At 38.8% G+C, this 23,164-nt stretch overlaps 1 protein-coding gene and 1 long non-coding RNA gene across 17 annotated transcripts in view, besides 5 other annotated features; both read left to right on the top strand.

Annotated features, from left to right (window-relative positions):
* Window positions 13,339-13,388: an enhancer, noted in NCBI's record as "active region_20256". NCBI's record gives its function as "activates an Ori minimal core promoter by ATAC-STARR-seq in GM12878 lymphoblastoid cells {active_cell/tissue: GM12878}" and the evidence as "EXISTENCE:reporter gene assay evidence [ECO:0000049][PMID:35858748]".
* Window positions 13,449-13,498: an enhancer, noted in NCBI's record as "active region_20255". NCBI's record gives its function as "activates an Ori minimal core promoter by ATAC-STARR-seq in GM12878 lymphoblastoid cells {active_cell/tissue: GM12878}" and the evidence as "EXISTENCE:reporter gene assay evidence [ECO:0000049][PMID:35858748]".
* Window positions 14,009-14,058: an enhancer, noted in NCBI's record as "active region_20254". NCBI's record gives its function as "activates an Ori minimal core promoter by ATAC-STARR-seq in GM12878 lymphoblastoid cells {active_cell/tissue: GM12878}" and the evidence as "EXISTENCE:reporter gene assay evidence [ECO:0000049][PMID:35858748]".
* The window catches only part of SPICE1-CFAP44 (SPICE1-CFAP44 readthrough (NMD candidate)), a 228,227-nt gene continuing 219,743 nt past the window's right edge, over window positions 14,681-23,164 (top strand). For 5 of the 12 annotated variants that reach the window (NR_183046.1, NR_183045.1, NR_183051.1 and 2 more), the window contains exon 1: window positions 14,681-14,757. This is a non-coding gene — a long non-coding RNA (SPICE1-CFAP44 readthrough (NMD candidate)). Of the gene's footprint in view, window positions 14,953-14,994; window positions 15,041-23,164 lie in introns of those variants that run through there. The other 7 variants (NR_183050.1, NR_183049.1, NR_183048.1 and 4 more) reach the window with 3 other exon arrangements.
* The window catches only part of SPICE1 (spindle and centriole associated protein 1), a 72,439-nt gene continuing 63,955 nt past the window's right edge, over window positions 14,681-23,164 (top strand). For 2 of the 5 annotated variants that reach the window (NR_170870.1, NM_144718.4), the window contains exon 1: window positions 14,681-14,940. The gene's annotated coding sequence lies outside the window, so the exon portion shown is untranslated. Of the gene's footprint in view, window positions 15,180-23,164 lie in introns of all 5 variants that reach the window. The other 3 variants (NM_001331078.2, NM_001331079.2, NM_001387939.1) reach the window with 3 other exon arrangements.
* Window positions 14,765-14,814: an enhancer, noted in NCBI's record as "active region_20253". NCBI's record gives its function as "activates an Ori minimal core promoter by ATAC-STARR-seq in GM12878 lymphoblastoid cells {active_cell/tissue: GM12878}" and the evidence as "EXISTENCE:reporter gene assay evidence [ECO:0000049][PMID:35858748]".
* Window positions 14,875-14,994: an enhancer, noted in NCBI's record as "active region_20252". NCBI's record gives its function as "activates an Ori minimal core promoter by ATAC-STARR-seq in GM12878 lymphoblastoid cells {active_cell/tissue: GM12878}" and the evidence as "EXISTENCE:reporter gene assay evidence [ECO:0000049][PMID:35858748]".

Genomic DNA, 23,164 nt, shown 5'->3' with positions numbered 1-23,164 from the left:
CACTTTAGCAGCAACCAGTCCAAGAAATCAAACTACAACTGCTGCAGCAAATGGCCCAAAAGAATTAGGTCTTGCTCAATGAGTCAATTTCCCCAATTTTTGCCCCTGCTTCCAACTTAGGATCAATCAGAGAAAGTTAAATATGCTTCCCAAACCACAAAATGCCCTGCTCCTACTTAGCCTGCCTCCAGCTTCCAACAGCAAGATCCAGTCAGAGCATACCTGAAACCTTCCCCTTTTATAACTATGAAGTTTTCTCACTCCCCTTCCTGCCTTTGAGTCTCTACTAAGCAGAAGTGATGGTGGTCAACTCCCTTGCTAGAGCAAGCTCTGAATAATTAGCCTCTGTTTGTTTTCATTTGTGTGAGCTTCACTTGTTTCTGTAGTTTTCTTGAAGTTTCCACAGAGATACTGTCTGCACTGCATGTCACCATGGATCCCAGTTCTCTGCCAGGTGCAGTACCCACCAAGGCTTCTTGTGCCTCACTGCACACAGTTGAGTCTGCATTGACACATTGGGTCAGCACTGGTTCTGAACTCTGCTCTTTGATTTTGAGTTCTTTGGCTATTTAGTCTCACTTTGGTACCTAGGATTTGTTATCACTTCCCATTTGATTGGCATCTTTGGTGGAGTCAGGCTATTCCTTTTCATCTCTGTTTTCTCTCTTTTCTGCTTCTGTTTTGCATTGTGCAATCTGGAAGTGTTGTCATAGAGTAGAACACAGGCATAGGCCCTATAAGCCTTTAATTTGAGCTGTCCTCCCAGACCAATGTAGTTTTCATTTGACTGGCATTCATTTGGACAAACTTTGCTGTGGGTTACCAATAAAACTAGATAAGATTATCCTCTCATCTAGATTTTTGTTCTGAGAATTTGGTTTTGATCCAGAAAGAGCATTCTCTCTGGTGTTATACTTGCCTGGGGAGACACATTGTCAGGTGTGCATTTAGAGGCAACTCATCCTCAAGGTTGGGGGCTCAAGATACAAAGTACACAAGCTTTACTTTTAACTTTTGCCAGCTCTTATGGGACCATTTAAGTCAGATTTTTCCACTCCTACAGGAAAAACTCCTTTTTCCTATATATATATACTTATTCTAATTCTAATTCTAGTGCCCACCTCTCTAAATAGCATAATTTCACCAAAGATTATTTGGGCTTTCAATGGCCATGCTGGGAAACACTGGACTTAAACAATTATCTGAGAAGCACCTTAGAAAAGAAAGAGAAAATGATTTATCAGATGTAATGGATAATTTTCTAATTGGTATGCAAAAGTCTACAAATAAAACTCAGTTCTAAAATTGCTTCACTATAAGATTCTTTGGTTAAAGTGAATGAGCAATCTGATGACTTAAACAACAACAAAGTAGAATTATTTCCTTGGTAAATTCTACTCCTTTTTGGTTTCCAGTTATCACTCTATGTTCAGTTTTCCTTCTTCGTCTTTATTTTTCTGATATTTCTTTTTCTGCATCTCCTTCCTTGCCTTCCTCTCATGCAGACCACCTTCTTCCCCAACAGTCCTCTTAAAACTCAAAATGCCATTTGCTTCTAAGGATGCATCCCTTCCATGAGCTAGGTATGTAGGCAACTGTAGAATTTAAACCTTGAACCCAAGATGAATTAAGAGCTATCACTGAAGATTTCCCTAAACCCAAAAAGAAGAGCAAATAGTTGTAGAATAATTTGGAATTTTTTTGGGTGCCTATGACCCAGGAGTACCTGACCTATATCAATTTGTGCATATGTTGGTTGAAACATCAGATATTGGATAGCAAAGACTGATTGAACTGATGCAGAAAGAGACCTGCAGGATTTCTCTCTCTACAATAAACCTGAGAGTCAAAAAATCCCAAAACAAAAGACAAAAACCAGTAAAGTAGATCAAAGTTTCAAAAAAGACATATGTGAAACATTTCCAAAAAAAGTTGATTGGACCTTAATTAAATCATGTTAACAAAGAAACAAACAAGATATGTAACTAAATGAGGTAGTTGGAGTTGGGGGTAGACTACTAGAAAATACCATTTTTAAAAATTTTTTGTTTTTTGTTTTTAAGATAGAGTCTCCCGCGCAGGCTGGAGTGTAGTGGCATAATCTCGGCTCACTGCAACCTCTGCCTCCTGGGTTCAAGTGATTCTGGTGCCTCTGCCTCCAGAGTAGCTGGGATTACAGGTGTGCATCACCATGCCTGGCTAATTTTTGTAGTTTTAGTAGAGAAAGGGTTTCACCATGTTGGCCAGACTGGTCTCAAACTCCTGGACTCAAGTGATCCACCCGCCTCAGCCTCCCAAAGTGCTGGGATTACAGGCATGAGCCACCGCGTCCGGCCTAGAAAACACCTTCTGACAACACTAGTCTTTCTACATTAAACCTGCCATCTTTGCTCAACTTCTTCCTTGGACCTAACATAGCACACAAGTGGTAGGTGTTTCAAGTAACCCACACATTTTTTTTTCCTATCTCTCTCACTTAACCATAACCTTGGACCCTTGCCTGAAAAATATTCTCTCCTGCTTTGTGATACCACTGCTACAAGCTTAATAGGTAGAGCTATGCTTTGCCTATGCAATTGTAATATTAAATGCATACCAGAGGAAAGATTTCTTGAGGTTTCAGAGGATTCTATTTACAATCAAGTTGTATCTGGTCTATATATACCTTTGCCTTCTCCACTGTTCTTGTTGTATACCTCAGATGAAGATCTTGAGGCTGTACCTGACACTCTATGGGCTAAAATTTCCACTGACAGAAAAAGTAATTGGAGCAGAATCTATTAAAATTCAGATACATCCTTCCAAATTGCTACCCAAACTTTCCCAATATCTCTTAAATCCAGGAGCAAAGGAAGCCTCAAACTTATAACTGAAGGCATTATATTCAAAGGCCTTTTTACAACCTGCACTACCCCTTGTAATATTCCTGCCCTGCCAGTAAAGAAACCAAATGGACAGGGATATTGACTTGTTCAAGAACTCAGAGACACAAATAAAATTGTTGTCTTTACTTTTCCTTGGTGCCCAACCCAAATACTATCTTGTCATCATTTCCTCCCCAAACCACTTGCTTCAGTGTAGTGGATAATTGCTCTGCCTTTTCACTGTTAAATTACACCAGAACAGTCAATACCTTTGTCTTCATCTGAGAGGACAACACTACATACATAAACAGTTAGGTGCCAGGGGTTTACTGAAACCCATTCCTATTTTTCCTATGCCCTTAATTAAGAACTAAAAGATCCAAATTTCTCTGGTGATCCAGTTCTGATATAACATGTAGATGATCTCCTACTTGTTTAGAGAAGCTGGTAAAAAGATTCCACTCACTTGCTCTCAGCCTTAGCAGAAAAGGGACATAAAGTTTTAAAACACAGAGTTTTGCCAAAACATAGTTCATTTAGGGCAGGAGGAGAACATTCTCTCCTAACAGACTAAGTATTATCCAGACTTATCCTAGATCCCCAGAAAACTACAGTTGAAATGATTTCTAGGTCTAATGGGATATTCTTGTTAATGGGTGCCAAATTTTCCTGAGATTGTGACACCTCTTTATGAAATGGCTAAGTCCTCAGTAACATTCCCTCTCTTCTGGGAGCCCAAGTATTGAAAAAGCCTCCTATAATCTGAAGACAGCTCTTCAACAGCCTCCTTCCGTAGGCATCCTGAACTAAAACTTTTGTCTATTTGTGCATGAGTGTTCTGGACAAACCTCAGTATTTTAATTCAACTTCATAGGAATTATTGAAAACCCATCACTTACTATAGCCTTGCCCTCAATCCAGTTGCAAATCCAAGATTGTCTTAGGATATTACCACCACTATAGAACTGGTCAAATCTGCTGAATTAGTTCTAGGCTTCCTGCTTGACCTGATGTTTCCTCATGCAGTACAGACTTTACCACCCATTGAGGCACAATTAACCTCCTAAGAGTTCCAGCTGCACTCTCCATCTCACATTACTATTCACTGCTGCATCCTGCCATCCTCCTGAACTTACCAAAAGAAGGGGAACCTCATGAATGTCTTACCTTAGTTAGAGAACTTTAAATACTTTGCTCAGATGTATTAGTAACTCTCATTGAAAATCCTGACCTTGTCTGGGCGCAGTGGGTCACACCTGTAATTCCAGCACTTTGGGAAGTTGAGGAGGGCAGATCACCTGAGGTCAGGGGTTCGAGACCAGACTGGCCAATGTGCTGAAACCCCATCTCTACTAAAAATACAACAACAAAAAAATTAGCCAGGCGTGGTGGCAGGTGCCTGTAATCTCAGCTACTCAGGAGGCTGAGGCAGGAGAATTGCTTGAACCCAGGAGGTGGAGGTTGCAGTGAGCCGAGATTGGGACCTTGCACTCCAGCCTGGGCAACAAGAGTGAAACTCCATCTCAAAAAAAAAAAATTCCTGACCTTATGTTATTTGTTGATGAATCATACCTCTGATAATCCTTGGAACTCAAGATGGCCTTTTGGTGGCCCCAAGTGATTTCAAATGAGTATTAGCTGAATTTCTCCATGAAGCTACTCATTATGTTAAAGACAAATTGATTACTATCTTAAATCAACATTGGTGAGAAAACTTTAAAAAGACAGCTGAGATTGTTTTGGGGTCATGTGTTACTTGTGAACAACATAATCCTGGAAAAATTATAAAGGTGAGGCATGGCCAAGAACCAAAGCCTCAAAGACCCTTTGAACACTTTCAGATGGGATTTGTCTATTTTCAGAATGGGTTGAATAATTTTCTTGCTGAAAATCTCCAGCCTTTTCAGTCTCTAAAAAGCTTCTTGATTTTATGTTTCCAACTAGGGTATACAAACTTTTATGTCAACTGACTGAGGCACACAATTTATAGGAACCATTATAAAACAACTTAATAAGGTGATACCCCTTCTCAAAAACTATACTGCCTTTACCACCCACAAACTTCTGTAAAGGTTGAAAGAACCAATGGCATCCTTAAATTCAAATTAAGAAAACTTTCATAAATCCTTGCACTTCCCTGCTAAAGGTAATCACCTGAGCTCTTACGGCCATATAATCCATTATTTTGGGGTCATATTGATTATGAACTGCTACCAGGAAGACCCAAGCATTTAGAAATTTCATCCTGATGCTAGATTCTTCCATGCTGCATCCAGATATGGGAAAATATTGCAAGGGACTCATGTACTATACCCAGTCCTATCACCAATAAATTAAGGCCACCTTGCTACAACATCTTCTTACATTGGCTCTTCAGGAGCATCTATCAGGAAATTTCATCTATTGAAATAGACATCGGATAAAAAACTGCTCTTGAACCTCAATGGAAGGAACCTTATCAGGTACTGTTAACAACAAATACAGCAGTGAAACTGCAGCAGACCAATCCTCAACTTTATGTTTCACCACTAAAGAAACAAGCCAGAATTCCACACTTTTGGAAGACTAGTCCATAGGATACCTCATGCTGAGAATTCTCAGAGATCCTCAAAAACAGCCTATCTTTGGCAATAGACATTTGACCCAAGACCTTTCAAACAAGCAGATGTCCTCTTAATGGACAGCTTCTACCTAACACATTGGACAAAGACCCCTGTATAATTCCTCTTTTGTTTTTGACCTGCTTATTGATAATCATTCTTCTCGTTAACTATGGACCACTGGTTATTTTCTACCATAACGATCCCTTTTTTCTTTTGGTACCCTCTTTGTTGACAGGTCAGAATATACTTATTCTAACACAATTCTCAGATTATGTGAAACAGTAGCCACTGCCATCAATCTTACTGACTGTTGGATATGTCATCCATCATTGGACCCCCAAGATAAAAACGTGTGGGTAATTCCAGTCTCATCAAATTAGACCACAGGGACTTATAGCCTATGGCAGTTTCACTTGCACCTACTGGAAAAATTAACCCATAACCTTGCTAGTTTCTTTTCTCCCAGAAAAATAATGAAGTATTAAAATCTGTTTGTCAGATCCCAGGTAATTCTAAATTTGAATTCAACAACTTTTGAAGGTTGATGAGCCAAATACCTGTCACCTGAAAAAGACTAATAGATATCCAAATATGTAACCCAGCAAACGTAAAGGCCTTGGTTCTGACTTCATGTCATGCACATCTTTTTCTTGCATTTCCATGTGTCTCTAACGCTATTACTTCCTTTGCACCCAGGACACATGATCCTCTTTACCTCAGACTAACACTTCATGCACTTTAATAATGGTATTCCAAGACTTGTCTGTATACAGAGACTCTAATTCTATAAACCACCAAGGATGAAAATTTTGACTCAGATGCAAACTCCAAAAGGAGGCCACCTTGATTATTCAAGTACTCTACCTGAAGGAATTACTGACTCACTGTTTATATGAACAATCAGAGCTGTTTTCTCAATGTTGCGAATCATACAAATAGAAAGAGACTGTAAGAAACTTATTATTAACTCTGGCAGAAGTTATTAGTGATATCACCTCCGCCCTGGAGGAAATACAGACCGATGCCAATTCATTGGCATGAGCAGTGATGGACAATTTCATTGTTCTTGATTTCTTGTTTGCTAGTCATGGTTGTGTCTGTGCCATTGTTATATATACTTCTTGCCATGTGAAACAAACAAGGTAAGACAGGCTAAACAACATCTGAACAAAAGAGCTTATTGGCTCTGTAAGATTGATCCTCATGGCCTTCAGGAATTACTCTCTTGGCCTGGGTTAGGCAGCTGGGGTTCCTGTTTCTGAAGCATCTTACAGGGACTGTTAATTATTGTTGTTTATGTCAATAGTCATTATGATGTAGGTTCTTTGCATTCTATCTGAAGTTCTATATATTTCTGTGCAGCTGCTCTTTCATCACGTGGTCATGATCATGACACAACAAAAAGGTCAAGATCTTGCAATATGGTTGACTATAGAGATAATTGGAGAATCCCCAAGTGGTAAAGATATGGATGGATATTTAGCCTTCTCTGAATTGGTCAATCTCTTGGAAGTGAAAGAATGACCAAAAGAAAGGGCTGAGGCTGGGTGCGGTGGCTCACACCTGTAATCCCAGCACTTTGGGAGGCCGAGGCGGGCGGATCACCTGAGGTCAAGTGTTCAAGACCAGCCTGGCCAAGATGGTGAAACCCTGTCTCTACTAAAAATACAAAAATTAGATGGGCATAGTGGTGTATGTCTGTAGTCCCAGCTCCTTGGGAGGCAGAAGAATAACTTGAACCCAGGAGGCAGAGGTTTCAGTAAGCAGAGATCAGGCCATTGCACTCCAGCCTTGGCAACACAGTGAAACTCCATTTAAAAAAAAAAAAGAGAAAGGGCTGAGAGACTGAATATTCAAAGGACAATCAAAGAACAGTTGGACAAACCTCTGCAGCAGTTAGCCCAGAATGGTCAGGATTTGGTCATGACTGCCAGTTTCTCTACTTTTTTTTCCCCCCAGAGCCAACCAGAGATTCATATGATTTTATCCCAGTTTAGGCATCTTAAATTATAGTTGTACTCAAGATGGGTTTTCCCAATATTAAAGAAAACCCAACAATATAGTAAAACTACACACACACACACACACACATACACACACACAGACACACAGAGGAAATAAATGAAGATCACTCAAATGAGAATAAACAAAGGCCATTTATTCAGAGTCTGATATACATAGTAAGGGATTTAGCATTTGGCAGAGACTCAAAGACAGGAAAGGGAGTGGGAAAGGTTTATAGTGAAATAAAGGGCAACTTTCAGGAATGCTCTGATTAAGGGTATGGGGAATCTGGATGTGGATTACCTAGTAGCAGGACATCTTATTCTTTGGGGAGCATATTTGGATCATATTTGGAGCAACAAGAAAAAGCCAAATAAATAGCTTTCTAGAGGTATAACTGACATCCAATTTTATATATTTAAAGCATACCATTTAATGAGTTTTGACACACACATCCCTGCACAAAGTCACATGCAAGTCACCTATGTTATATACACACATACAGCTGTGGAACCATCACCACAGTCAACAAAATAAATATCCATCACCCTCCAAAGTTTTCTCACTCTTTTAAGTCTATCTTTCCTGCCCCTCCCTGTTCCCTTTCCATTCTTAAGGAACTGCTCACATGCCTTCGGTCTACATTAGTTTTCATTTTCTGGAGTTTTATGTAAATGTAATCACACAGTATGTACTCTTTGAAAATGTGGCTTCTTTCACTCAGCATAGTTATTTTGAGATTCATTCATGTTGTTGTGTGTATCAATAGTTTATTAGTTTTTGTTTCTGTGTAGTGTTCTATTGTATGGATATACAATAATCTATTCTAATTTTTTTCATTCATCTGTTGATGGATATTTGTTTTCTTACCCCAGTGTTTTGCTATTACAAATAAACCTGCTATAGACATTCGTGCATAAGACTTTGTAAGAACCTATGTTTTTTTTTTTTTCTCTTTAGTAAAGATCCAGAAGTGGAATGACTGGATCATACGGTAGTGTGTTTTAACTGTATAAGAAACTGCCAAATTATTTTCCCAAGTTGTGAACCATTTTACATTCCCACCAGCAATGAGAGCTCCAAGTCCTCCTCATCCTCAATGACACTTGGTATGGTCAGTCTTTTAATTTTTAGACACACCAGTAGGAGTGTAGTGGTATCTCACCGCGGTGTTAAGTTGTATTTCTCTAATGACTAATGATGTTGAGCACATTTTCAGATGCTTATTTGATATCAGCATATCTTCCTTAGTGAGGTGCCTGCCCAAATTTTTTGCCCAGTTTTAAAAAACTGGCTTGTTTTCTTATTATTGAGTTTTGAGAGTTTAAAACACATTTCTGATATGTCTTTTAACCAGATATATACTTTGCAAAGATTTTCTCCCAGTCTGTGGCTTTTTTGATCACTTAGAAGGTGATTTAAAGAGAAGTTTTTAATTTTTATTAAATCCAATTTATGGATTTATTATTTTATGAATTGTGCTTTTGGCATCATGTCTAAAATCTTTACCTAACCCACAGATTTTCTCCAGTGTTTTCTTCTAGGAGTCTATGGTTTTAGATTTTACATTTAGGTCAATGGCATGTTTTTAGTTAATTTTTTGCATATGGTGTAGGATATAGATCCATTATTTTGCATATTTATATACAATTATTTCAGAAATATTTATCAAATGGTCTTCCCTTTCTCCACTGTATTATGCCTGCACCTTTGAGGAGAATCAGTTGTCCATATATGCATGAGTTTATTTCTGGACTCTATCCTGTTTCACTGATATATTTGTGTATTTTTCTATTAATATTATGCTATTTTGATTACCGTAGCTTTATAATAAGTGTTGAAATTAGGTAGTTGTAGTAACATAATTTTGCTCTTTTTCAGAGTTGTTTGTCTATTCTAGGTCCTTTGCATTTTCATATGAATTTCAGAATCAACTTATCAATTTCTACAAAAAACTTTTTGGGGTTTTGATTGGGATTACTTGAATATATGAGATCAGTTTGAAGTAAGTGACATCTAACAATATGGAGTCTTCCAACCCACGAATGAGGTATGCCTTTACATATTTAGGTCTTTTAAAATATCTTTCAGCAATACTTTGCAGTTTTTAATGTACAGGGCTTTCATATCTTTTGTTAGATTTATGTCTAAATATTTAATTTTTTGATGTCATAAAATGCATTTAAGATTTTCTATTTCTAATAGTTCATTGTTAATATATGGAATTACACTCAATATATACTTTTTTTTTTTTTTGAGAAAGGGTCTCGCTCTGTCGCCCAGGCTGAAGTGCAGTGGCACGATCTTGGCTCACTGTAACCTCCGCCTCCCGGATTCAAACAATTCTCCTGCCTCAGCCTCCCGAGTAGCTGGAACTACAGGAATGCACCACCACGCCTGGCTTATTTTTGTATTTTTAGTAGAGACGGGGTTTCACCGTGTTGGCCAGGCTGGTCTCGAACTCTTGACCTCAAGTCATTTGCCTGCCTCAGCCTACCAAAGTGCTGGGATTACAGGCATAAGCCACCGAGCCCGGCCTACACTCAATATTTGTATGTTGATCTTGTATCCTGCAACTTTGCTAAATTCACTTATTAATTTTAATGGCATTTTTCTTTTCACATATTCTTTTTTTTTTTTTTTTTTTTTGAGACAAGGTCTTGCTATGTTGCTCAGTCTGGTCTCGAACTCCTGGCCTCAAGCAGTCCTCCTGCCCCAATCTCCGAAAGTGCTGGGATTACAGGTGTGAGCCACCACGCCTGGCCTCTTTTTACAGATTTTATTGAATTTTTTTACATAGACATTCACTCCACTGGGAATAAAGATATTTTTCCTATTCAATCTGAATGCTTTTTATTTATTTTTCCTGTCTGATGGCACTAACTAGAAACTCCAGTACAATGTTGAATAGATGTGGTGAGACTAGACATCCTTGTCTTTTTCTGATCTAAGGAGGAAAGCATCCAGTCTTTCACCATTATGCATCGCGTTAGATGTAGGTCTTTTGTAGATATACTTAATCAGGTCGAGGAAGTTCCTCGCTATTTCTAGTTATCTGAGAGGTTTCTATTAAGACTGGATATTGGACTCCTTCTTTCACAAAACATTAGGACACAAACACAATTTAACCAAGTTCTTACCACTTAAAAACCAGGTTTGCGTATTGTCCAGTTTCCAATATTTTATTCCTTATTTCCACCTGAGACCTCATCAGAATTTCGTTCACTGCCAACACTTTGATCATGACCACTTAAGACAGAGGCTTTTTTTTTTTTTACAGCTCTTCTCTCCTTCTGAGCCCACACTATCGCATCCCTTTATAGTCCAGCCTTTCTCCATTATCCAGTTCCAAAGCTGTTTCCACATTTTTAGGTAATCGTTACAGCAGCACCCCATTTCTCAGTACCAACTTCTGTTTTAGTCCATTTGGGTTACCATAATGAAATACCTTCAAATGGGTAACTTATAAACAACAGAAATTTGTTTCTCATGGTTCTGGAGCCTGGGGAATCCAAGATCAAGGCACTAACAAATTTAGTGTCTGGTTTCTGTGTCCTCATATGGTGGAAGAGGTGAATCCTGTGTCTTCACATAGCAGAAGGGCAAAACGGGCAAAAGGGACAAACAGGCTTCCTAAAAGACTCTTTTTTAAGGGCACAAATCCCATTCATGATGAGCAGAGCCTTCATAATCTAATCACCTCCTTCCTGAAAGCCCCACCTTTTAATACTATCACATTGGCAAATTGTCACATAGAAAGTTTGTGGGGACACATTCAGACCATAGCAATGGCTTGTTTAGAAGTGTATTTTATTCCCCAAATTTTGAGGGATTTTCCAAGAATCAGTCTGTTATTGATTTCTAATTTAATTACATTGTGGTCAGAGAATGTATCTTGCATGACTTCAATCCTTTTGAATTTGTTAACATTTGTTTATGGTCCAGATTATTGTCCATCTTCTAAACTTTCTGTATATGCTTAAGAACCATGTGTATTCTGCCAATTATTGGAGTGTTTAATAAATGTCAATCAGGTCAAGATGGTTGATAGTGTTGCTCAAGTCTCTTATAACCTTGTTGATTTTCTGCTTATTTGCATTATAAATTATTCAGAAAGGGGCATTGAAATATTTGACTATTGTGGATCTTTCAATTTCGCATTGCAGTACTATCAGTTTCTGCTTCATATATTTTTAAGTCCTGTTATTAGATGCAAAAATGTTTAGGATTGTTATGACCTTTTGATTAAATGGTTCTTTTATTATTATTAAATGATCTTCTTTATCTCTGGTTATATTCTCTGCTCTGAACTCTACTTTGTTTAAAATTGATAAAGTCACTCCACTTTATTTTCACTAGTGTTAGCATGATATATCTTTTTTCCATCCTTGTATTTTAAACTTATTTGTGTCTTTATATTTAATGTTTCCCTTCTTATAAGCAGCAATTTAAAAAATTCAAGATTTTAAACAATCTCTGACAATCTGACAATCTCTGCCTTTTATTCAGTGTGTTTAGACAATTTACATTTAATATGATTTATGAGTCTATCATCTTGCAATTTCTTTCCTACTTCTCTCTTTTCTTTGTTTTTTCTTGTTTTATACTTTTAGATTAATCAAGTATTTGTTTCGTTATCCTTTACATGACTTTTGTAAGCTTTTAACAATAACTTTTATTATTTAGTGGCGGCTTTAGGGTTTATAGTATACATCTTTATTTTATCATAGTCTACCTTTAAGTGGTATCAGGAATAGTATAAGGGTCAGGCGCGGTGACTCACACCTGTAATCCCAGCACTTTGGGAGGCCAAGGCGGGCAGATCACCTGAGGTCAGGAATTCAAGACTAGCCTGACCAACATGGAGAAACCCCGTCTCTATTAAAAATACAAAAATTAGCTGAGTATGGTGGTGTGTTCCTGTAGTCCCAGTTACTCCGGAGGCTAAGGCAGGAGAATTGTTTGAACCTGGGAGGTGGAGGTTGCAGTGAGCCGAGATCGTGCCACTGCACTCCAGCCTGGGTGACAGAGTGAGACTTTGTCTTAAAAAAAAAAAAAAAAGGAATAGTATAAGGATTCTAGGTTGATAGCTTTTTTTCTTTGAATATGTTTGAACTGTTATTCTGTCTTCTTGCTTGTTTTGATTCTAATGAGAAACTGATGTAATCCTTAGTTTTGTTCTGCTGTATACGACATGTATTTTTTTCCTTGGATGCTTTTAAGATTCTTTTATCACTCGTTCTGAGCAATTTGATTATGAAGTATTTTGATTAGCTTTCTTCATATTTCTTATGCTGAGCTTCTGAAGGCAGGTCTGTGGGTAAAGATAGTGACAGAAGGATTAAAATAATGATGGGAGCTTAGGGAAGTTCTCTTTTGAATAATTCAGTGTAATCAATGCAGTAGGAAGCAAGGTCATTGTGTGAGAATGAGGATAGGAGACAAGGCATTGGGTATGAATGAAGGTATAAAACTAATATGTAGGAAAATCAATGAACAGGGACCTGTAATGAGATGTTCAAGCATCTTTAAGGTCCTACTTAACATCAGTAATCATGAATTTAAAGTCAGCATGATTGGGTGTTTTTTTTCAGATTCAGCTGCATGGGTGCAAGCACTTAGTAAGTGTAAAGTAGGGATGGCTAATATGGTCATTTTGCCAAGTGATTACAGCAATTTAGAGAGGGGCAGGGAGTTGAGGATGCAAGCAAGTGGATGATTGTTGATTATTAAATATATCTACATCAAACTTCCTCAATCAGAGTGAAAACTATTAAAGGCAGTACCTTTCCTCTAGAAGGTTTTGGGCATGTATTTGCAGACCACACATGGGTGTATTGTAACAGCAGAAAGCAAGGGGCTAGAGGAAATTGTCTTACCAGAGCAAATAAACTCTGTTTTTGAATCAAGTGCTTTGTAAAGTTCTTAACGTGGTCCACGCAGCTCTGACTGTCGTGGATCCAGCCTATCAGGGCGCCTCCCCTTCACAGCAAGTTCCCACTGTTCTCTAAACTTCAGACACACTGGACCTCTTCCTGTCCCTTGCATTTTCCACATCTTTGCACATGCAGCTCCCTCTGCAGGAATGCTTTCCCCTTCCCCACTGGCCTATTCATGTCTGAGCTTTCCTGAGTAATTCAAATATTACTATAATAATAAGCTAAGTATTTGGTTAGAGTGCTTCCTTCTTAGCACTCGTCATAATTTTAATGTTTTTGTCATTGATAACTGTCTGTTAATATGCTGTAAGTTTCCCACCTTGCCTGTTTTTAGCCCCATAGAACCTAGCTCTCCCGCACATTTGTAGGTTGTAATAAACAACTTTTTTTTTTTTTTTTGAGACAAGGTCTTGCTTTGTCGTCCAGGCTGGAGTGAAGTGGTATGACTGTGGCTCACTACAGCTTTGCCCTCCTTGGCTCAAGCGATCCTCGCACCTCAGCTTCCTGAGTAGCTGGAACTACAGGCGTGTTCCCACGCCCAGCTAATTTTTTAATTTTTCGTAGAGACGGGGTTTCGCCATCTTGCCCATGCTTGTCTCAAACTCCTGAGCTTAAGCAATCCTTCTGCTTCTGTCTCCAAAAGTGCTGGGATTCCACTACTAAAGATTTGTAAACAAATGAATAGAGATGAAAGCAAATTAAGTGATATGTGAAGTCTGGTGAGGAGAGCAACATCTTTCTTTTGGAGAATTCTCGAGGCACCGGCTAATGCTATATGCCTATTCTTTTTTTTTTTTTTTTTTTTTTGAGACGGAGTCTCGCTCTTTCGCCCAGGCCGGACTGCAGTGGCGCCATGTCGGCTCACTGCAACCTCCACCTCCCAGGTTCACGCCATTCTCCTGCCTCAGCCTCCCGAGTAGCTGGGACTACAGGCGCCCGCCACCTGGCCCGGGTAATTTTTTGTATTTTTAGTAGAGACGGGGTTTCACCGTGTTAGCCAGGATGGTCTCGATCTCCTGACCTCGTGATCCGCCTGCCTCGGCCTCCCAAAGTGCTGGGATTACAGGCGTCAGCCACCGCGCCCGGCCTGCTATATACCTATTCTTTAATAATTTGCCCTGAACCTTGCAGAGGAACCTCTCTCCCTTAGACTCAGGACCCGAGATAGGCTTTGGGAGGCGCCTGCGCACTGGGCTCGCCGGATATACGCAAGGGCGTGGGGCGGAGCTCTGGTAACCCAGGCAACAGCCCGGAAGCCGCTGGCTGGGTTAACCTGTGGCGCGCTCCGCGGTTCCGGCGCCTGAAGTTTTAGCTGCGGTGGCGGCGGCAGTCGGGACCGACTGCAAGGCAGGTTGAGATGATGGATCTGAGGCTTGCAGCTCGCAGTCCCAACGAGCCTTAGGGACCAGGGCTACCAAAAGGGTGGGGAGAACGGTGGTGGCATCTGTCTGTTGCCTGGGATCCAGGCGCCCGGTTGGGGAATCCTTACTTCAGGAAGCGCAGCCGCGGCTCTGTGTTTTGAGAGTGCAAGTACGTGTCAGGGTGCGTGTCTGGGTATGTTTGTGCGTGGCGCCAGAGCACCTCGAGTATGCGCGTGCGCACCGCTTTCGGGAGCTTTTGCACAGAGCTGGTAATTGGGGGTGCTCGATTGTAGCGTTGGGGGAGTTCACCGTGTAGCAGGAGAGAGGCAAACTATCCAGGGTGCTTTGGGACCGGGAGCGTCATTTAAATCGATGGATGTCAGAGGGGCTTCTCAGAAGGCTCCTCCTGTGAGTTTTGAGGAGTCCGTGGAAGTTAACCCAGTAGAGAAGAGAGTGAGCCTAATGAGTGTTCCAAGCAGAGGGAAAAGAATGGTTGCAACTGTGTGTGAGGCGAGAGCTTGGTTTTAGGATTTGCGGGAGATGTGAGAGAACACTGGAAAGAAAAGTCAGCCGGGCCATATGGGGGAGAGGGTCTGAATGCCAAGCTGAGTTGGATTGCTTTTGACAGTGGGGAGCCATCCGAATCTAGAGGAAGTAGGTAAAGGGTTCAGATCTATTCTCTATCCATGTATTTAGGTAGGATTGATTCAACAGTGTTTGGAAAGAGTTCTTGTTTCTCTTTGATCAGTTTTCCACACCAGTCAGAGTGGATTTACTAAGTCCAGTCATAACTATCCCTTTTAAAATTCTTCAGTGGTTTCCTATGGTCTTAGGTGTTCAGATTGCTGTGGCTCACAAGACTACAATCTGCTGTCTGCCTTTCTTCCTTTAACCTCTCACCCTCTCAGATCTTTGTTAATTGAACTGAACTTCTCAAACTCTTCGTAAATGCATTTTCCCTTGCCTGGAATATTCTTTCCCCTGCTTCTAACTTTTATTCGTATTTTAGCTCTCAGTGCAAACATTTTTGGGGGTATTACAGAGAGGAGAAGCTTTTACTTACTGCATAGAGTTAGTTAGGTACTTTCATGGCACACAGAATTTACTTCCCATGCTGCCCTTTTGTTGTAAATACTTGTTTAATTGCGGTCCTCTTAGAAACTCTTAACTCTGCAAGGGCATAGACTATTCTACTTTCTTGTTATATCTGGTGCCTCGCTTTTAGATGGTGCTTCAAAATATTAGTTACATTAATAGATGGATGATGAAGTCAGTGAGTGAAGAGTGAAAGGGAGACTAATTAGAATAATGAGAGCCTGAACAAAAATATTTTTAGTAGAGATGGAGAAGAGCGGGCAAGAGAGATTTTTAGGGAAAAAGTTAATAGATTCTGTTATCTGATTCACTAAGAGATAAGGAACAGAGGTGATGCTGAGGTTTTAAATTGGAGCAACTAGGATTGTAATTCTGTAAATTCAGCTTAATTGAACATATTTATCGAGTCAACCAGTTATATATCAGCAAGTAGAGATTTGGGGTATGATGATGAGCTGTATTTTGATATACTGTATTTGTGATATTTGGGAGATGTATATAGTAGGTAGTTAGAAATGAGCATTTGGTGTTTTTGTTTTGTTTTTGTTTGTTTATTTTAAGAGACAGAGCCTCACTTTGTCACCTAGGCTGGAGTGCAGGGGCGCCATCGTAGCTCACTGCAGCCTCCAATTCCTGGGCTCAAGCAGTCCTCCCACCTCAGCCTCCTGAGTAGCTGAAACTATAGGCACTCACTGCCACTCCTGGCTAATTAAAAAAAATTTTTTTTTTAGAGACAGGGTCTTGCTATGTTGCACAGGCTGGTCTTGAGCTTCCTGCCTCAAGCGATCCTCCAGCCTCAGCCTCCCGAGTTGCTGGGATTACAGATGCGAGCCACTGTGTTTGAAGTTTTGAGGAAAGGTGTGAATCATTGATTTGGGACTCATTTTCACAGTGTGTTTGTTTGTCCATACATTCATAGCTTTGCTCAAGGGAGTTGGTGAGGTCACTGAGGGAGGATGTGAACTGCCCCTTTGTGATCAAGAAAGCAGCTCCATGAGAGCTGGCACCATATTAGACTTGTTTACTAATATCTTAGTTTATTTAGTTTACTTAGTTTACTTGTTTACTTGTATCTCTAATGCCTAGCCAGTGCCTGGTGTGTGCTGCACTCCCCCAAATAATTATTGAATGAAAGGAGAGGGTATCTAATGGAAAGACAAGAAGAATGAGAACTGAGATAGAACTGGGTGGAAATCCTTGATTAAATTGTTTGTGTGGAGGAGGACAATAGAGCCTGTGAAGAAAAGGAGAAAAGAATAGAAGAGGCCAGGTGTGGTGGCTCACGCCTGTAATCCCAGCACTTTGGGAGGCCAAGGCAGGTAGATCACGAGATCAGGAGTTCGAGACCAGCCTGACCAACATGGTGAAACCCCGTTTCTACTAAAAATACAAAAGTTAGCCGGGCATGGTGGCAAGCGCCTGTAATCCCAGCTATTCAGGAGGCTGAGGGAGGAGAATCGCTTGAACCCGGGAGGTGGAGGTTGCAGTGAGCTGAGGTCGTGCCACTGCACTCCAGCCTGGTAACAGAGCAAGACTCCGTCTCAAAAAAAAAAAAAAAAAAAAAAGAAAGCTTTTCAGTGCAAAGGTGGGGTCAGAGTTTTTGTAATTAATAAAACTTGGAGGTAGAACTAAGGATTAGTAAATACAGGTGCTAAAGTGTACCTTTTCATGAAGCTGGATGGCAAGAGAAGGGCAAAGATGGGATAGCAGCTTAACTATACCTGTGTTATCCTACTGTACACAGGTAGTAAATTACCACAGATTTAGTGGCCTAAAACAATTACTATTTATCATTTCACAATTTCTGTGGGTTGTGAGTTTGGACATGGCTTAGTTAGATTCTTTGCTTAGGGTCTTCCAAAGCTGTAATCAAGTCGTTGGCCAGTATGCATTCTCATCTGGAGTTTTAGCTTCTGAATAAGTAAAATATTCTAAATGTAACTTGAAATACTTTTCCCCCCATTTTTAAGAGTAACATAGGTCCATTATAGAAAATTTGGGAAATATAAAAGCAAACAGAGGTAACCCAATTCTGGCAAAGTTTTCCAGCATGTGCTTTACAGTCAGTCAGACCTGGTCTTGAGTGTCAGCTCTTGGCTCTGCCTGTTATTATTTGTATAACTTTGAGCTATATACTTTCTCTAAGCCTCATTTTTCATTTTTTTTGAATTTTAATATTCTTAATATTTTTAAATTTTGTTTCAAGTTCTAGGGTACACGTGCGGTATGTGCAGGTTTGTTTCATAGGTAAACGTGTGCCATAGTGGTTTGCTGCATCTATCAACCCATCACCTAGGTATTAAATCTAGCGTGCATTAGCTATTTTTCCTGATGCTCTGTCTCCCTGCATCCCCCTGCCATCTGACAGGCCCCAGTGTGTGTTGCTCCCCTCCCTGTGTCCATGTGTTCTCATTGTTCAGCACCCACTTATAAGTGAGTACATGTGGTGTTTGATTTTCTGTTCCTGCATTCGTTTGCCAAGTGTAATGGCTTCCAGTTCCATCCATGCCCCTGCAAAGGACATGATCTCATTCCTTTTTATGGCTTTATAGTATTCCATGGTTTATATGTACCACATTTCTTTATTCAGTCTATCAATGATGGGCATTTGGGTTGATTCCATCTCTTTGCTATTGTGAATAGTGCTGCAGTGAACATATATGTGTGTGTATCTTTATAATTGAATGATTTATTTTCCTTTGGGTATATATGCAGAAATGTGATTGCTGGGTCAAATGGTATTTCTGGTTCTAGGTCTTTGAGGAATCGCCACACTGTCTTCCACAATGGTTGAACTAATTTGCATTTCCACCAACAGTGTAAAATTGTTCCTATTTCTCCACAGTCTTGCCAGCATGTGTTGTTTCTTGACTTTTTAATAATCGCCATTCTGACTGGCATGAGATGGTATCTCACTGTAGTTTTGATTTGCATTTCTCTAACGATCAGTGATGTTGACTTTTTTTCATACGTTTGTTGGCTGCATAAATGTCTTCTTTTGAGAAGTTTGTGTTCATGTCCTTTGCCCACTTATTAATGGGGTTGTTTGTTTTTTTGTCAATTTAAGTTCCTTGTAGACTCTGGATATTAGCCCTTTGTCAGATGGAGAGATTGCAAAATTTTTCTCTCATTTTGTAGGTTGTCTGTTTGCTCTGATGATAATTTCTTTTGCTGTGCAGAAGCTCTTTAGTTTAATTGGATTCCATTTGTTAAGTTTTGCTTTCGTTACAATTGCTTTTGACATTTTCATCATGAAATCTTTGCCTGTGTGTATGTGCTGAATGGTATTGCTTAGATTTTCTTCTAGGGTTTTTATAGTTTTGGGTTTTACATTTAAGCCTTTAATTATCCTGAGTTGATTTTTGTCTATGGTGTAAGGAAGGGGTCCCGTTTCAATTTTCTGCATATGGCTCACCAGTTCTCCCAACACTATTAAGTAGGGAATCCTTTCCCCATTGCTTGTTTTTGTCAGGTTTGTTGATGATCAGATGGTTGTAGATGTGCAGTCTTATTTTTGAGTTCTCCATTCTGTTCCGTTGGTCTATATGTCTGCTTTTGTAGCAGTACCATGCTGTTTTGGTTACTGTAGCCTTGTAGTATAGTTTGAAGTAGGGTAGCATGATGCCTCCAACTTTGTTCTTTTTGTTTAGGATTGTCTTGGCCATATGGGCTCTTTTTTGGTTCCATATGAATTTTAAAATAGTTTTTTCTAATTCTGTGAAGATGTTAATGGTAGTTTAATAGGCATAGTATTGAATCTATAAATTACTTAAAAATGCCAGTATGGCTATTTTCACTGTATTGATTCTTCCAGTCTCATTTTTCTTATTTGGGAAAAGGGTTAATTGTTGTCACTGACATCATTATCCTCAACATTTAAATACAATTTTGTATGCTAGGCAGGTGTATTAGTTCATTCTCATGCTGCTATAAAGAAATACTCGAGACTGGGTAATTTATAAAGAAAAGAGGTTTAATTGACTCACAGTTTTGCAGGCCTCAGGAAACTTACAATTATGGCAGAAGGCCAAACAGAAGCAGGTACCTTTTTCACAAGGTGGCAGGAGAGAAAGTGAGTGCAAACAGGGGAAATGCCAGACACTTATAAACCCATCAGATCTCATGAGAATTCACTATCATGAAAACAGCAAGAGGGAAACTGCTCCCCATGATCCAATCACTTCCCACTGGGTCCCTCTCATGACACATGGGGATTATAGGGATTACAATTCGAGATGAGATTTGGGTGGGGACTCAGCCAAACCATATCAGCAGGGGTTCTAAGCACTTATATATTTAATTAGTTCTGTTTTATAGTTAGTGAAAAAGCTGGGATGTGAACCCAGACAGTGATTCCAGACTGTATTCTTAGCCTTTATACTATATTGTCTCTCAAGACAGAACAGGCTTCACAGGGTTGTGGGATCAAATGTGAAGCTCTTAGCAGAGATAAGTGCTTTATTAATAATGCCTATATTCTAACATCATTGAGAATATACTATACATACAGTTCTGTATTCTACTTTTTATACTTCTTATGTATTTTCCTGTCATTAAACATTTTTAATTTTAATGGATACATAATTCATCATATAGGTATACTGACATTTTATGACTCTTGTTTTTGCAGAGTAAATTGGAGATATAAGTGGTTAAAGATCTAAGTGGTTAAAATACATTAGATTCATGTCTTTGAATAACTATTGTTTTCCTATCTTTTAAAATAACAGCTTTATTGAGCTATAATTCACCCTTTAAAGTATACAGTTCAGAGGTTTTTAGTCAATTCACATAATTGCGCAACTAACATTACTATCTAATTTCAGAACATTTTCTTCACTCCCCAAAGAAACACTATACCCATTAGCAGTCACTCTCCATTATATGCTCCCTCTAGATGCTGGCAATCACTAATCTATGTCTCTGTGGATTTACTTATTCTGGACACATCATATCAATGATACCAAACAATAGGGGGCCTTCTGTGTTTAGAACCCTTTCAAGATTCATTCATGTTGTAGCATGTATCAGTACACCATTGCTTATTATTGCCAAGTAATAGTCCATTGTGTAGATATACCACATTTTATTAATACATTCATCAGTTGGTGGACATTTGGGATGTCTCTACTTTTTGTCTGTTCAAAATGCTGCTGTGACCTTTTATGTACAAGTTTTTACGTGGACGTATGTTTTTAGTTCTCTTGGATGTAAATATGTGAGTTGAATTGCTGGGTCATGTTGTTACTCTGTGTTTAGCTTCTTGAGGAATTGCCAGCTGTTTCCAAAGTGCCCACACTATTTTACATTCCATGAGCAATATGTGAGGATTCTAGTTTTTCCATATTTTTGTCAGTGCTTGTTGTTGTCCGTCTTTTTGATTATAGCCATCCTAGTCGGTGTGAGGTGGTATCTTGATTGGCATTTCCCTAATGACTAATTATGTTGAACATCTTTTCATGTGTTTATTAGCTGTCTATAGTATCTTCCTTGGAGGAATGTCTATTCAAGTCCTATGCCCATTTTTAAATCGGATTTTTTAAATTGTCGAGTTGTAAAATTTCTTTATATAGTCTGGATTCAAGTCCTTTATCAGATAGAGGATTTGCAGATACTTTCTCCCATTCTATTGGTTGTCTTCATTTTCTTGATTGTGCCTTCGAAGCACAAAAATTCTTAATTTTGATTACGTCCAATTTATTTTTTTCTTTGGTTGCTTGTGCTTTTTGTGTCATTTCTAAGAAACCATTGCTTAACCCACGGCTCACGAAGATTTACTCTTATGTTTTCTTCTAAGAATTTTGTAGTTTTAGCTCTTATATTTAAATCCATGAATCAATTTAATTTTTGAATATGGTGTGAGGTAGGAGTCCAACTTCATTCTTTTTCATATGCGTATCCAGTTGTCCCAGCACCATCTGTTGAAAAGACTATTCTTTCCCCGTTGAATTGTCTTGGCACCCATGTTGAAAAACTGACCATAAATGTAAGGGTTTGTTTTAGACTCTTTGTTCTATTATATTCTGTATCTTTTTAAATGGTACTTATGGCTCTGCTACTTACTAATTGTGTGACCTTCATGGTTGGTTAACTTTTGTCTCTCAGTTTTCTCGTTTGTAAAATGAGGAATAAATAGTAAGTACCTCATGGGGTTATTGTGAGGATTCAAGAAAATAATGTTTAAAGAGCTTAGAATAGCATCTGGCTTATAGTAAGCACACGGTATCTGTTAGCTGATGCCATCATTACCACCGTGGCTATCATCATCATTACCATCATAAAACTTAAATGTTATTTTCTAACTTGTATGTGACTTGTTTTCTTTGGCTGAAATTGTAAATGCTGAAATTAGATACCATGTTTAAGGAGTGAATGTTCTTGTTAAGAGAGAGTACAGAGTGCAAGGAAGATTGAGGGCAAACTCTTAAGAAATACTTGTATTTAGACATTTTTATTATAGTAGACAATGATTTTTTTTTAAAAAAAAGTACTTAAGGAAAATACTAGAGTCCTTGTTTTAGACTAATTGGGAGTAAGGGGGTCAGCTGGAAAGTCCTGTAATTATTTAGGTAGGTTAAAAGTGTCTGCAATAGTAGTCATGTATATGTATTGCTTTTTAAAAGTCATATATATGTATTGTAAAATCCTGGTGTTCGGGGACTATGGGTCTTTTTCTAATTTGGTGTAATGTGTAGTCTAGTGTGCTTAGCATTGCTGTTTAAACAGTGGCAAACTAATGTTGGCAATTTAAAAATTCTAGTTTAAAATCAATAATTATTAATTTGTTTATCAGCAATAGAAAAAAATCAATAATTAGCACCATTTAGCATTATGTGACAGATATATTAGAAGTGATATCATACCTCATTTGTTCTCTAAAGTTTAGCTACTTTTATTTTCAAGTAAGCCCATATGTACCTGGTAGTGATTTTGAGTGTTAGAGTGCTTAAAAAAGAACTCCAACTCTCTTTTGCCCTTTCTTCCCTTCACCTTACATTCATATTGTTAGCTTGTGACTGGGCTATTTTCTACTAATTGTAAATTTGTGTAACTGATGACAAAGCTTATGACGAATGTCTTAGTTCTCGGCTTTAGGCCATAATTTCTGCATTCCTAGAGTTCTTTTTTAATCAAATATATAAGTTATTGACTTGAGACCTCTTTTATTATAATTATCAGTACCAACATTTATTAGTTGTAAAATAAAAGAACTAAGTATTTTGATAGGCTGTTCCTTTCATCATGCTTAAATTTTTCTTCTGGCATTTTAAAATTTGTTTTTTTTTTCAGGTGTCTTC

Source organism: Homo sapiens, chromosome 3 (assembly GCF_000001405.40).
Source record: "Homo sapiens chromosome 3, GRCh38.p14 Primary Assembly".
Classification (NCBI taxonomy): Eukaryota; Metazoa; Chordata; class Mammalia; order Primates; family Hominidae; genus Homo; species Homo sapiens.
The sequence above is the reverse complement of the archived record's forward strand: the minus strand, read 5'-3'. Positions and strand labels throughout refer to the sequence as shown.